At 49.6% G+C, this 13,911-nt stretch overlaps 1 protein-coding gene across 5 annotated transcripts in view, besides 2 other annotated features; it reads left to right on the top strand.

Annotated features, from left to right (window-relative positions):
- Nucleotides 1–13,911, top strand: part of CYB5RL (cytochrome b5 reductase like) — a 30,380-nt gene that overhangs the window by 9,079 nt on the left and 7,390 nt on the right. The window contains exons 4-7 of one of the 5 annotated variants that reach the window (NM_001031672.4): nucleotides 56–204; nucleotides 3,213–3,300; nucleotides 6,687–6,791; nucleotides 11,600–11,803. In NM_001031672.4, coding sequence (NP_001026842.2) covers nucleotides 56–204; nucleotides 3,213–3,300; nucleotides 6,687–6,791; nucleotides 11,600–11,803 — 546 coding nt within the window. Of the gene's footprint in view, nucleotides 1–55; nucleotides 402–3,212; nucleotides 3,301–4,665; nucleotides 4,800–6,686; nucleotides 6,792–11,599; nucleotides 11,804–13,911 lie in introns of those variants that run through there. The other 4 variants (NR_148414.2, NM_001353354.2, NM_001353353.2 and 1 more) reach the window with 4 other exon arrangements.
- Nucleotides 3,654–3,867: a silencer, noted in NCBI's record as "fragment chr1:54652758-54652971 (GRCh37/hg19 assembly coordinates)". NCBI's record gives its function as "represses an EF-1alpha promoter that drives an FKBP-Casp9 reporter gene in an ReSE screen in K562 erythroleukemia cells {active_cell/tissue: K562}" and the evidence as "EXISTENCE:reporter gene assay evidence [ECO:0000049][PMID:32094911]".
- Nucleotides 9,689–10,189: an enhancer, noted in NCBI's record as "H3K27ac hESC enhancer chr1:54646436-54646936 (GRCh37/hg19 assembly coordinates)". NCBI's record gives its function as "activates a minimal SCP1, AML or CMV promoter by ChIP-STARR-seq in primed H9 embryonic stem cells {active_cell/tissue: H9 hESC(primed)}" and the evidence as "EXISTENCE:reporter gene assay evidence [ECO:0000049][PMID:30033119]".

Here is a 13,911-nt window from a genome sequence, read left to right as displayed (position 1 = left end):
GCCTGTGTGTCTGTGGAGCCCCGGCCTCTAGCTGTTGGATCTCTTCCTGTTGCAGAGCTGCCCCTCCAAGCTGAACCCAGAGACCTTCGTGGCCTTCTGCATCATTGCCATGGACAGGCTCACTAAGGACACCTACCGTGTCCGGTTTGCTCTACCCGGGAACAGCCAGCTTGGCCTGCGGCCCGGCCAGCACCTCATCCTACGGTACACTCAGGTAGCGGGAGGACCAAAGCTTCACAGCCCTGCTTTGCTATTTGCTAGCTGCTGGCCTTGACCAACTAGCGTACTCTCCCTTAAGCCTCCATTTGTCATCTTCAAGATAGACATAGTGACACATGACTCAGAGAGTTCTTGGGATTGAACTAGATAATGCATTTTCATAATAAATAATAACACAATCACTTTAATAGCATTTACTATCCAAGGCACAGTTCTGGGTGCTTATAGGCATGAAATCATTTAACCCTCACAAAATCCTGTGTGGTAGGTGCAGTTATACCCCAGAGGAAATTGAAGTAAGAGAGGTCCAGAAACTTGCCAAGGTCACACAGTTAGGAAATGTTGGAGCCAGGATTTGAAGGCAAGCAATGTGGCTTTAGAGCTTGTGGTATGAACCTAATATGATTAGTACCAATTGATAGAATTGAGAATAAAGGGCTTGCCCAGCACTACATAGCTAATAAGTCACGGAGCCAGGATTTAAACCCAGACAGCCTGGCTCCTGAGTTACGCTCTTTACCACTCCTCTGAGGTTCCTACTTCCTCCCAGCCTACTTAGGCACTCTACTCCCACCCCAGTCCCCACCCCTGCCTGCCCAGAGACAAGACCCTTTGGGATGTCCAGGTAGAGCTGTCTGCCAGGCTGTTGGCTCTGTGAATCTGAGGCTCAGTAGAGAGATCTGAGCTGCAGGCATGGGTTTGGGAGTCATTGGCACATAGCTGAGTGGCATTTGGGAAAATGTGTGCATGGAAAGAGAAAGGCGCACAGGACCAAACCCTGGAAACACCAGCATCTACGGTATTGGCAAGAGGAGGAGGAGCCAGCAAAGGAAGCAAGGTGCGGCCAGAGGAGAAGGTGGAAACCAGAAGAGCACTCACTGCTGCTCAGACTCTGGCCACTTGCTTCACACTGGCCCCTGGTGTTTGTGCCCAGCTCCTTCTGGCCTGTGACCTGGCCAGCAGTCCTAGAAGTTCACTATCCCAGTGGGCAGGAGGGGCCACAGGGCAGGTCATGGCCCCAGGCATCCTTCCATCCATGAACCAGAATGCTCAGAACTCCCTGCCTCCAGGCTGGCTCCCCTCCTTCACCCTCTCTGTCCCTGCGGTGACATCCCTAACACACATATCTGACCATGTCACTGTGGGGTGCAGCATGGAGGCAATGTAGCACCCCAGAAGGTATCTGAGGTACCACATCGCCTCCGTAATGATGTCCTAACCCAAGGCCCCAGCTTGCTTTCCCACCATGTTCTTCTCCCTTTGCCAACCCACCCCTGCCCTGGTCTCAGCCTCCTGCTCCACGCCCCATTCCCACCACCCTTCCTGTCCCGATTTGCCCTTGTCAGTGGCTGGCCTATCCTGCAGCACCCACCTCCAGGAGGTTTCCTAGGCTCCCAGAGGAGACTGCGCACTCCCTCTAAAACATACCAGTTTTACCTCTGTTGCAGCAGACGTCATAGTGCTCTGCAGCCAAGCCATGCTCTGTGCTCTGTTCCTTAGGTCCCCATTTGTTTCATATGCATTTATTTATTTATTTATTTATATTTTTTGAGACAGAGTCTCACTCTGTCACCCAGGTTGGAGTGCAGTGGCATGATCTCAGCTCACTGCAACCTCCGCCTCCCAGGTTCAAGTGATTCTCCTGCCTCAGTCTCCCAAGTAACTGGGACTACAGGCATGCACCACCATGCCCAGCTAATTTTTGTATATTTAGTAGAGATGGGGTTTCACCATGTTGACCAGGATGGTCTCGATCTCTTGACCTCGTGATCCGCCCACTTTGGCCTCCCAGAGTGCTGGGATTATAGACGTGAGCCACCACGCCCAGCCTCATATGCATTTATTAAATATTTCTGTCCAGCCCTCTCATGCTTTTGGTGCATTGAGACAGGGCCTTATTTAATCTTTGCATACCTCAGAGAAGAAAGTTTTGTACGTAGTAGGACTTGAGAGAAGACTGCTTAGGGAAGCTTCTGGGAAGCTCTGAAGAACAGTGGTGAGGAACCCAGCTCTGAAGTTAGAGCTGTGATTGAATTTGAGCTGTGCAAGTGACTTCCCTTCTCTAAGCACTGGATTCCTCATTTGGATTGTTGTTTGAGTTAAATGAGATAATGCATATGAAATGCTTGATACATGTATGCATTTAATACACCATGGCTATTACTGTGACTCATGGTGGTTATCCTGACCCTGTTTTTGGTAACATGGAGAGGATTCATGCATGAGACAGGGCTTTAGACCAGGGCCCTTTGAGGATCCTTCCAGTCCTAATGCTTCTGTCAGGTGCTAGTAAGTGTTTAATAAATGTTAGCAGTTGTTTTAGTCTTTATCACTCTGTGGTCGGGAAGAGGTCAGGAAAAATGACAGTCATGTCTCCAAAACAACTCACATCCTCAGTGCACTTTTTGAAACACTCTCCCATCTGTAGTCCCAGAGGAGCCACACAACTGGAATGCAGATAGCTGTCCCCATTTTACAAAAGGGGCCACGGGGCATGAGATGATCTACTGGGATCTCACAGCCAGCACGTGGCAGTGGATGAGCCCAGTACTCTTTTTTTTCTGTTGCATCTTGCCTGCCTCTCAGTGAGGACCTTTATTTTCACCAGCCTGGCAGAGGAGTTACCTCATAAGGATTTGCAGTTGTTTGTTTGTTTGAGACAGAGTCTTGCTCTATTTGCCCAGGCTGGAGTGCAGTAGCATGATCTCAGCTCACTGAAACCTCCACCTCCCGGGTTCAAGTGATTCATGTGACTCAGCCTCCCAGGTAGCTGAGACTACAGGCGTGAGCCACCACACCCAGCTAAATTTTTGTACTTTTAGTAGTGACGGGTTTCACTATGTTGTCCAGGCTGGTCTCAAACTCCTGACCTCAAGTGATCAGCCCACCTCGGCCTCCCAAAGTGTGGGGATTACAGACATGAGCCACCGTGCCCAGCCTTAAAAGGGTTTGCTGAATGACTGGCTGACTGACTGCACACTTCTGTTTCTCAGAGGGATAGTAGATGACTTAGAAATTCAGAGAGCCTATACGCCCATCAGCCCTGCCAACGCAGAAGGATACTTTGAAGTGTTAATTAAGGTGAGTTGACCCTTGAGGATGCTCCAAGATGCCGTGGAGAAGCTATGGGTCTAAGAATGGAGAGCTAAAGGGAAAATGTGGGAAGGAAACTCAGTGCTGGGAACAACATGGACAAAGGCAATTGGGGAAGTAAGTCCTTTGTCCTGGAACAGAAGGAAGGAGTGCCAAGGGAGCAGGATGCAATCTGAGAGGATTAGGCAAGAGGTAGGACATGGAGGAGCTTATAGACAGGACTAACCTAACATCACCTCTTAGGGGAGGTGGGCAGAACCGGGGCATTTGAGTTGGACCTTGAAGAAGGAGTACAAATTGGCAGTGGCCGTAAATGGCATTCTAGGCTGAGGGGATGGTTAACCAAAGGTTGGGAGGGGTGAAATAGAACAAGTCTTCTAGGAACTATACCCAGCCTGAGAGCCAGGAGGAGAGGGTGCTGGTGGAGAAGGCAGGGTGGATGGAGGAATTGGCAGATATGAGATGAACAAAGTAGGTTGGATGCAAAACACCCTGGAGACCCAAGGAATAGGAAACAAATATATAAGAAGTTGTGGAGGCCCAATTATGTGGAAAGAATAATTAGGTTGAGCTACATGAAATTGCTGATATTCTAACTTTTTTGACTTAAAGAAACATCAGCTTCATGTGGGTCAACCTAATACACAGCTCTAGATCATCATTTCCCAAATGGAATCATTACGAATATTTAAGAATAGTGTTCACATCCTTAATCTATGTTATAAGACATGACTTATTATCTATATTGCATTGATAAGTAAACGGAGTCCCCCAGAGGTCCCAAGGCCCCACAGCTAGTAAGAAGTGCTGCTAGTAGGTGAGTCCTGCCCCCTGACACCGAGACCTCAGCACTGCCTCCAGCTCCCGCCTTCCTACCTGCCGTCTGAGCCCGAGTGTTTATTCCTCCACACATAAGCTTGGATGGGATCCCTTCTTCATGCAACTGTTTGTCTGGGAGATTCCACAAATCCTCTCCAAATGGCCTGCTTCCCCAGGCTGCTTGTCGGGGTGTGTTTCTGTGGAAAGGATAAGCCTGGAGACAGTTCTTCAGGGCAGCTGGATCTCTCCCAGCTGCAAGGCTGATTTTCTCCTTCGTTTGCTAGAAAGCCTCTCTTTAGAGAGATGCTTAATTATCTCTAAGCCACTGGCTAGGAAAAGCCAGAAATGTCTTTGCAAATTGGGAAGGCAGGCAGGGCTTATCGTTTGACCCTCCCAAGTAGAAGGGAAGGAGAAGCTCCCATTTCTCAGACACCTTCTGGGCACCAGGTACTGCCTCTGTCTCTTTATTCTAATTATCTCATTTCAACCTCATAACCAACCTATAGAGTAGGTCATATTATTCCCATTTTACAGATGAAGAAACTGAAGCTCAAAAAGATGACATCATTTGTCTCAAGGCCTCTTGGGTAATATGATCCAAATGGAAGGACAAAAGTTCAGTGTCAGTTCTGTTTAACAAGTATGTATTAAACATTTACTCTGTGCCAGGCTCTGTGTGGGTATGTATTAGTCCGTTTTCACGCTGCTGATAAGGACATACCTGAGAATGGGCAATTTATGAAAGAAAGGGGTTTAATGGACTCACAGTTCCACATGGCTGGGGAGGCCTCACAATCATGGCAGAAGGTGAAAGGCATATCTCACATGGCGGCAGACAAGAAGAGAGCTTGTGCGGGGAAACTCTTCTTTGTAAAACCATCAGATCTCATGAGACTTATTCACTATCACAAGAACAGCATGGGAAAGACCTGCCCCCATGATTCATTTACCTCCCACTGGGTCCCTCCCACAACACATGGGAATTCAAGATGAGATTTGGGTGGGGACACAGCCAAACCATATCAGGGTACTAAAGACAACATGGAAGAATCCTTCCCTTCTTCTTGGGTGCTGTCAAGGCCACAGCTGGGGTCATGCCTCCCCCTAGATAGGGGCCAGAAAACAAAGCGTGCATGGAGACAGCCTCCAGCAAGGCAGGAGAAAAACCTCACCTTTCCTACTAGACCCCTTCCAGTTGAGCCAGGGACTTCCGTTGCCTTGTGCAGGTGGTGCCCAAGGAAGTCAGGGATGATATCAGAGATGGCCATGGGTGCTTAAAAACAGGTCTGGGGACCAAAGCCCTTTCTCTGTGTTAAGCCTGGCTATAATCTTACTCCAAACACCCTTCCAGTCCTGTCTCCCAGTGCTTCGCCCTCACCCTCACCCTACCATGTTCACTTGCTATTCCCAAAACATGACCCAGATTGTCCTACCCCTGACCATACTACACCTGATGTCCAGAGTCCTCTCTGCACCCCTGCTCCCATCCCCAGTGAATTCCATCTTGCCCATCTTTCAAGGTCCAACTCAAATGCTTCCTCCCCCAGGAAGCCATCCTCGATCCCATCCATGGAAGTGGCTGCAGCCTTCTCAGGTTTATTCCTAGTTTATTCTTCTCATGGGTATTAGATGGTCTCTACCTTGTATATGTCTGAGACTTAGGTCCCTTCTAGATTGTAAGCTCCTTAAGGGGAGAGCCTGAATCTGGATTGATTGATTGATTCATTCATTCAGGTATTTATTAAGTTACTTCCATGGTTCAGGCACTGGCTGCCTTCATGGAGCTTAAGATCTAGCTGTCTTGCCTGCATCCTCAACATGGTGCCTGGCACAGAGTGGACAGGCACCCAGGCAATATAGACTCCCTTCTCCATGGAGGAATCACTTCTGTAACCTTCATTTTTCATCCAGCCAGGAGATGGTGTAGGATAATGCAGAGACTGCAGATGGGTGGCCTGAATCTAGCCCATAGATGTATTTGGTATTGGCCAGCATAGAGTTTTAAAATTTTGAATTAATTGCAGACATTTCAAAAATGGGAGATTTTAAATAAAAATATGGATTTCGTGCCTCTTTTGGAAAATCAATAGATTTGGCCAATTAGGCCCCACAAACTATGGACTGAAACCTGCAAACTGGCTTCCCTCCTTAGAAGGAGCACTCGCTCACCAATTTATCATAGTCCCCATCACTCCCTATTGTCTCCCTGATGCTGAGACTGTGTGTTAATTGCCATTAATCATCACCCAGTTCTTCACTCATTTATGGTACCTGCATGGTCCCTGTGGGCATTTGGGTTTGGGACCTCTATGCTGAAGGCTTTAGGTCCTATGGATTCTCATCCCAGCCTCCTGTCTGCCTTCTGTGTAAGCTTCTGGGCCTCATCTGAAAATTGGGAATGGCTGTACCAACTTTGTAGGATAAGGAGGACGATTAAATGAGATAACACATGTGAAGCACTTAGCATACAGAACGGGCTCCACATTAATGGTTAATCTGGTTTGTGTTGGCAGCATGTACCTGTCCCGCTGACGTCTCCCTGTGTTTGCTTCCAGTGCTACCAGATGGGGCTGATGTCCCGGTATGTTGAGTCCTGGAGAGTAGGAGACACAGCTTTCTGGCGAGGACCTTTCGGAGATTTCTTCTATAAACCAAACCAGGTCAGTGCCAGCACCTTAAATCTTCAGGAGATCCCTGTTGACTGTGGTTTTCATGTTTCGGCCCATAGCATCTCACTGTGCCATTCTCCTTGAGCTCAAACACAATCCCAGGTGTATCCTTGGGGTTGGACATGGGAGAAGATGGAATAGACACTTATTTATTTATTTATTTATTTATTTATTTAGAGACGGAGTTTCGCTCTTGTTGCCCAGGCTGGAGTGCAGTGACGCGATCTCGGCTCACCGCAACCTCCACCTCCCAGGTTCAAGCGATTCTCCTGCCTCAGCCTCCCAAGTAGCTGAGATTACAGGCATGTGCCACCACACCCGGCTAATTTTGTATTTTTAGTAGATACAGGGTTTCTCCATGTTGGTCAGGCTGGTCATGAACTCCCAACCTCAGGTGATCTGCCCGCCTCAGCCTCCCAAAGTGCTGGGGTTACAGGCGTGAGCCACCGCGCCCAGCCAGAGTAGACACTTATAAATGAAACTGCCTGCCCAGCTCCAAAGCTACCCAGGGCGGCCATTGCTTAGAACATCAGACCCTTGTACTTGACGTTTAGGAGCCCTTATGCCCTCTGACCCTCAGGCGCCTTTCCAATTTCACAGTACAGTCACATGACTAAATATGCCCCATGGCTTCCTGCTTCCTAGCTCAGATGGCTCTTCTCCTCATCATCCTGGCATTTTTAAACCCTTCCCCGACTTTCCCAGTAAGAATTCGTAATTTCTCATCAGTTGGTGCATATCTGGAAAGCATTTTGACAGTATGTACCAAGAGTCTTCAAATCCTTGGCCCCAGTAATTCCACTTATGGAAGTCCGTCCTATAGAATGAATCAAAATGCTGGCTCTTCTGCGTATGTTCATTGCATCTTTATTTATAATAGCAGAAAATTGGAAACAACCGAATATCCAACAGCAGGGGAACAGTTAGGTAAACCGGGCTACAGGTACTTGATAGAATAATATCCTGGATTTTAAAGTTCTGTTTATAAATGATGTTATATACTTATGCTGTAAGATGAAGTGACAAACACTAGGTACAAAACTGAATATACAGGAGGTTGGGAAATTAAGTTAAAATGCACAGAGAAAATATGAAAAGAAAATGCAATGAAATGTTAGCAGCTCTGGGTGGTGAAATTATGGGTGATTTTTATTTTCTTCATTATACTTTCTAAATCATTTGCAGCGAACACCTATTACTTTATGATTAGGAAAACAAAGCAAAATGAAAACAAATGGAAAAGAATGAATCATGCCTTCCTCTCCATTCTTTTTGTTTAATTTTTAAATAGCTTTTGTTGGCTGGGCGCAGTGGCTCACGCCTGTAATCCCAGCACTTTGGGAGGCCGAGGCGGGTGGATCACCTGAGGTCAGGAGTTTGAGACCAGCCTGGCCAACATGGCAAAATCCTGTCTCTACTAAAAATACAAAAAATACTAGCCAGGCATGGTGGCACACACCTGTAATCCCAACCACTTGGGAGGCCGAGGCATGAGAATCATTTGAACCCAGAAGGCAGAGGTTGCAATGAGCTGAGATCATGCCGCTGCACTCTGGCCTGGGTGGCAGAGAGAGACTCTGTTTCAAAAAAAAAAGCTTTTATTGTTTTTTTTCCTTTTATAAATGCAGTACATGTTCATTACCCAAAAATCAGCAGATGGAAAGAGACAAAAAAAAAAGAAAAGAAAAAACACTCACAGGCATTCTACCCAGACACACCCATCTTATGGCTTGGTGTATATCCTTCCAAATCCTCTTCCACATGAGTATATGTACAAATGCACACTGCATGCACATGTGTAGTATATATGTATAATAATATCAAGCACGTGTAGCACCTCATGTGTGCCAGGCTCAGACCTTAGCACTTGCTATATGGTAACTCACATAGTCTTCACAGCAGCTCTTAGGTGCTACAACCCCATTCTACAGATATGTGCTATGCATATGTTAATACTATTCCATAGTATTCTTCTAGTACTAACCATGCTTAGCCTTGCATTTTAGACCCTGCATCCCCCAGATGCTTGAGAGCAGGGAATGGAAATCGTTTGTGTTTCCTCCTTGTCTAGAGTGGATAACAGATGAACGTTGTCTTGACCGCCTTTTCTGGTGGAGCCTCCCAATGCCTTGTGGCTGCTCCTTCACATGCACGGAATACTTGAAAGGCCCTGCATTTATTTCCTACCTTCCTGCCTTCCTGTCTTCCCGTCCTCCTTCCCTCCCTGTTGCCCAAGCTGGAGTGCTGTCATAGCTCACTACAGCTCCACCTACTGGGCTAAAGCAATCTTGCTGCCTCAGCCTCCCAAGTAGCTGGGACTACAGGCGTGTATCACCACGCCCAGCTAAGTTTTGTATTTTTTTGTAGACACAGGATTTCACCATGTTGCCCAGGCTGGTCTCAAACTCCTTGGCTCAAGTGATCCTCCCACGTCAGCCTCCCAAAGTGCTGGGATTATAGGCATAAGCCACCGTGTCCAGCTCCTGGATTTCTTAGCTAGGGAGGCTGTAGGGCCTGATGGTAGGGAAAAAGAAATGGTGTCTCACACCTTAATATGCGGTCACTGAAATTTCAGTAAGCCTTGGTTTCACCACACGAGGATGTCTGGGAAGCTCCTGCCCTCTTCCGGGCCCTGTTTTGCTGCTCTGCAGTCGTCTTCGTTACAGATGGATATTACATCAGCCCTGAAGACTGACATATTAGCATCTGTCTGTGCATTCATTCAACAAACAGACACAAGTGTTCACCCAGGGCCAGGGGACTCTGGGGACCTAGAGATGGGTCAGATGAGTCCCCTGTTCTCCAGAAGCTCACAGTCTGCTGGGGGAGTCAGACACACAGACAGGTGACAGCAGCACAGTGTGGCCAGTGTGGTTCAGAGGGACTCACAGGGAGCTGTGGAAACACAAAGAAAGGAGCCTCCCCTGCCCTGGCTTGGGAAAGGCCCTCCAAAGGATAGCCCGAGCTAGGATGGGAGGAGGCAGAGGAGCATGGCAAGCTGAAGGCCTGGAGGCTGGAGAGAGCACAGACACAGCAACAGCTGCCAGGCGTGAGTCTCAGCAGCTTAGGGAGGGGGAGGAATCTAATTGGATCTGCACCAGGCAGTTTTCTTTTTTGTTTGTTTTGTTTTGTTTTGTTTGAGACAGGGTCTCACTCTTGCCCAGCTGGAGTGCAGTGGCATGATCATGGTTCACTACAGCCCCAACCTCCTGGGCTCAAGCGATCCTCCTGTCTCAGTCTTGAGTAGCTGAGATTACACGCATGAGCCACCATACCCAGCCAACCAAGCACTTTTCTTCATCTCATTTAATCCTGGTAACAGTTCTGAGATAGGTGCTGTTATGGGGAAGTGCGTTTCTTTTTTTTACCAGTGAGGACACTGAGGATTATATTGGTGAAAGAGCTTGCCCAGATCACATGGTTGGGGATTTATACCCAGAGGCCTAATCTCTAGAATGAGGGTGGTAAATACCCCTGCATCACTCAGGTACTAAACTTTAAGGCACTGACCTTAAAGAGGGTCACCCCTCTTTTTTTTTTTTTTCTTTGAGACGGAGTCTCGCACTGTCACCCAGGCTGGAGTGCAGTGGCGCGATCTCAGCTCACTGCAAGCTCCGCCTCCCAGGATCACGCCATTCTCCTGCCTCAGCCTCCTGAATATCTGGGACTACAGGCGCACCCCACCATGCCTGGCTAATTTTTTGTATTTTTAGTAGAGATGGGGTTTCACCGTGTTAGCCAGGATGGCTCGATCTCCTGACCTCGTGAACCGCCTGCCTTGGCTTCCCAAGGTGCTGGGATTACAGAGGTTCACCCCTCTTTAAGAGGCCTAGAGCCTGGAAATAGATTCAGTGAGGAGGAGTTGATGGAACTGGGACCTCCTGGGGTGGGAACTCACCTTTTTTTTTTTTTTTTTAGATGGAATCTTGCTCTGTTGCCCAGGCTGGAGTGCAGTGGCATGATCTCGACTCACTGCAACCTCTGCCTCCCAGGCTCAAGCAATTCTTCTGCCTCAGCCTCCCAAGTAGCTGGGACTACAGGCGTGCACCACCACGCTTGGCTAATTTTTGTATTTTTAGTAGAGACGGAGTTTTGCCACGTTGGTCTCGAACTCCTGACCTTAAGTGATCCGCCCACCTTGGCCTCCCAAAGTACTAGGTTTATAGGTGTGAGCCACCACTCCTGGCCGGGAACTCACCTTTTTCAAGTGACTCTTTTGTGCCAGTGCTGTGCTACATGCTTATGCATATTATTTCATTTAGCCTAGAGATGAGCAAGCTCAGAGGTCCAAGGTGGGCCCTTGAGATCTCTGCAGAGGTACCCTGGGGCAGAGGAAGCAGCCCAGAGAGCAGGGCTGGAATGGCATTGGGAGTGGGCAAGGCTTTGATGGGAGCAGGTTTCAGCTCAATGTAAGTTGTAAAGACCTCCCTGGCAAAGGATTTGGCCTACAGTAGAGCAAACTGCCTTGGGAAGTAATGAGCCCCCTGTCAGTAGAAGTATGTAAGCAGAGTCCTTGTGGGGATGCTTTAGTAGGCAACCAGGCCACTTACAGGATGGGCTATACTGTTATGTTCCCTTTCAGTCCCCATATCCCATCATCTCCATTACCCAAACCTCACATGCCTTTCACAAACAAGGACGGCTTTCTGGAGGAGGTAGAGAGGGGACATAGGTGGTTGGACACCAAGGAAGGGCACTGCCGTCCAGTTGAAGGAAGCTCAAGGAAAAGTCCCATAGTAGAGGGGATAAGGTGAGACTCTCCCAACCCACCTGTCATACATACCCCTTCTGTTCCCCAGTATGGTGAGCTCCTCTTGCTGGCTGCGGGCACGGGCCTGGCCCCCATGGTGCCTATCCTGCAGAGCATCACAGACAATGAGAATGACGAGACTTTTGTCACTCTGGTCGGTTGCTTCAAGACCTTTGAGAGCATCTACCTGAAAACCTTCCTCCAAGAGCAGGCCCGTTTCTGGAATGTCCGTACCTTCTTTGTACTCAGCCAGGTGAGCCCAGGGTGGTGACTTTCTTTTTTGATTGAGACTCTGCTGTCCCTTTGCACCTGTCCTGAGGACCAGCTCTAGCCTCTTTTGGCAATGGATGCTGTGGTCATAATCCCTGCCACTGGTGGAGCACCCACCTGTATGGAAGGCAGGTGTTCTCATGTTCATTATACAGATGAGGAGATGCACATTCAGTGGGTGAAGCTGCCCACCGGCTCACGCTGCTGGACAGGGCTGAGGCCAGGATTTGAGCCCAGGGCTGTCTGGTTGCTGAGCTCTGGCTCTCACCCCATGCGTTACTGCCTCCCATCGCCCTCTGGCATCATCAGTTACATGGGCAGGGGCCTGGCTGTAGAGGGCAGGGCAGGCTGCAGACCTCCCTCCAACTGAGTGATGTTCCTTGAGGTGGAGACCACATGTCTGCCTCAGCACTCTCTCTTCAGTGCTTAGCATGATGCCAGGCACAGAACAGGGACTCCATTAGTGACTGCTGGAGTAAACTGATCTGAGTTCCCTGTGCTTGCTAGTATCCTCCCACCTCAGCCTGTCCCTCCATAGGAGGACCCCGCCGTAGCTGGCAGCGACTCTCCCTGCTGACCCCTCCTCCCTCTGACTCCACATCCCCTCCGCTCACTCAGGTAACCCTTCTGGGGCCACCCCCATAGGTTAGAGCATGGGGGATTGTCTGCCCCTCATCTCAAGCCAGGCCCTCAGCTACCTTTGGTGGCCTGCCTTTCCCTGGTTGGTAGCTTCACTTTTCCCTCCTGTCCCCTCTGGGTTGGGATTCCTGCTGGGCCCCCTGTGTTCCCTGGTGCTCAGGGTCAGCCTTCTTGCCCGGTGCTGTGGGGTACCATTCTCATCTGGTCCCGCTATGAGGCAGCTTTATGTAGTCCCTAAACACTTACTTGATCCTCAACATTGTAGCTGGGTGTGGAGGGTGAGGAAATTGGATTTCCCGTCCCAATATAAGGGTCCCTGGGCTCCCCAGGGGCTGGGTTCTGCAGGCCTGTCCATGGGGCAGAATGCTCAGTGGCATGACATGAGAGCGTGGTGAACATTTATAGCAGCGGAAAGTGCCCAAGGAATGAGAATGGAGCCAAAGGCTAGCGTGCAGCCCAAGGGGTGGGCGCGAGGGATGGGCCACTGTTGCCCAGCAGCATGGGCAGCCTGCCTGAGAGCCTGGACAAGGATGCTGGGAGGAGGGCAGGAAGGCAGCACCTGGCAGAGGGTCCCCAAGCTGCTGGCCAGCCTTGCTTTCCCTCCTCTGTCGCCTGAGAATGTGGCAGGTGTCAGACACACAACAGTGAAGGTGACCCACTCCCAGCCCTCCGGCTGCTCACCTATCTATGGGTGACAGCCACAGAGACGGCTGAAAAGGACTCCCCTTCATTCAGCACATTCTCTGTAGCCAGCACCATTCTAAGCACTTTATTTAATTTAATCTCCACCACAATCTTATGAGGCTTATACTCCCATCATGCTCCTTGTACAGATGTGGAAACTGAGGCACAGAATGGTTAAGAACCTTGCCCAGGGTAACACAGCAAGTTAGTGGAGAGTGGAGTATGAACCCAGGAGGTCCTGTTCAAAGGCTGTGGTCTTAGTGCTCCTCAGAATAAGGCAGCACAGCACAAGGTGCTGTGAGGATGTTCGGGATGCCAGTGGTGGGTAGAGGCCAGGCAGGGTCAGGGATGGCTTTACCAAGCAGGTGGCATTTCCGTTAAAGTTCACCAGCAATAGAAGATTTTTAGTCCCCAGCTGGGCCAGGGTGGTGCCAGTGGCCTGGGGTTGGGCAAGCGAGTGGGCTGGCCATCAGTGGCAGGTGAAGGGGGTGACTGGTGGCTCCTGCCTGTACACACTCTCTTGACTCAGTGTGCTCTCTCCCCTGCCTGGGCCACAGCTGCAGCATCCTCAAGAGTCTCCCCGTACCAGCCACTCCCTGCTGATTTGTCCTGCCTCCTGCAGTCCTAAAGGCAGATCTGACCCTACCACCACCCTGTTTCTAGCCCTTGCCTGGCTCCCTACTGCTCACAGGATGAGGTCCATGCCTGGGAACTGCCTCCCTCTGTGGCCTCATCTCCTAGCCCGCCCTCCCCGTGAGCTGTGGCCTG

This window comes from Homo sapiens, chromosome 1 (genome assembly GCF_000001405.40).
Source record: "Homo sapiens chromosome 1, GRCh38.p14 Primary Assembly".
In the NCBI taxonomy this organism is placed as follows: Eukaryota; Metazoa; Chordata; class Mammalia; order Primates; family Hominidae; genus Homo; species Homo sapiens.
The sequence above is the reverse complement of the archived record's forward strand: the minus strand, read 5'-3'. Positions and strand labels throughout refer to the sequence as shown.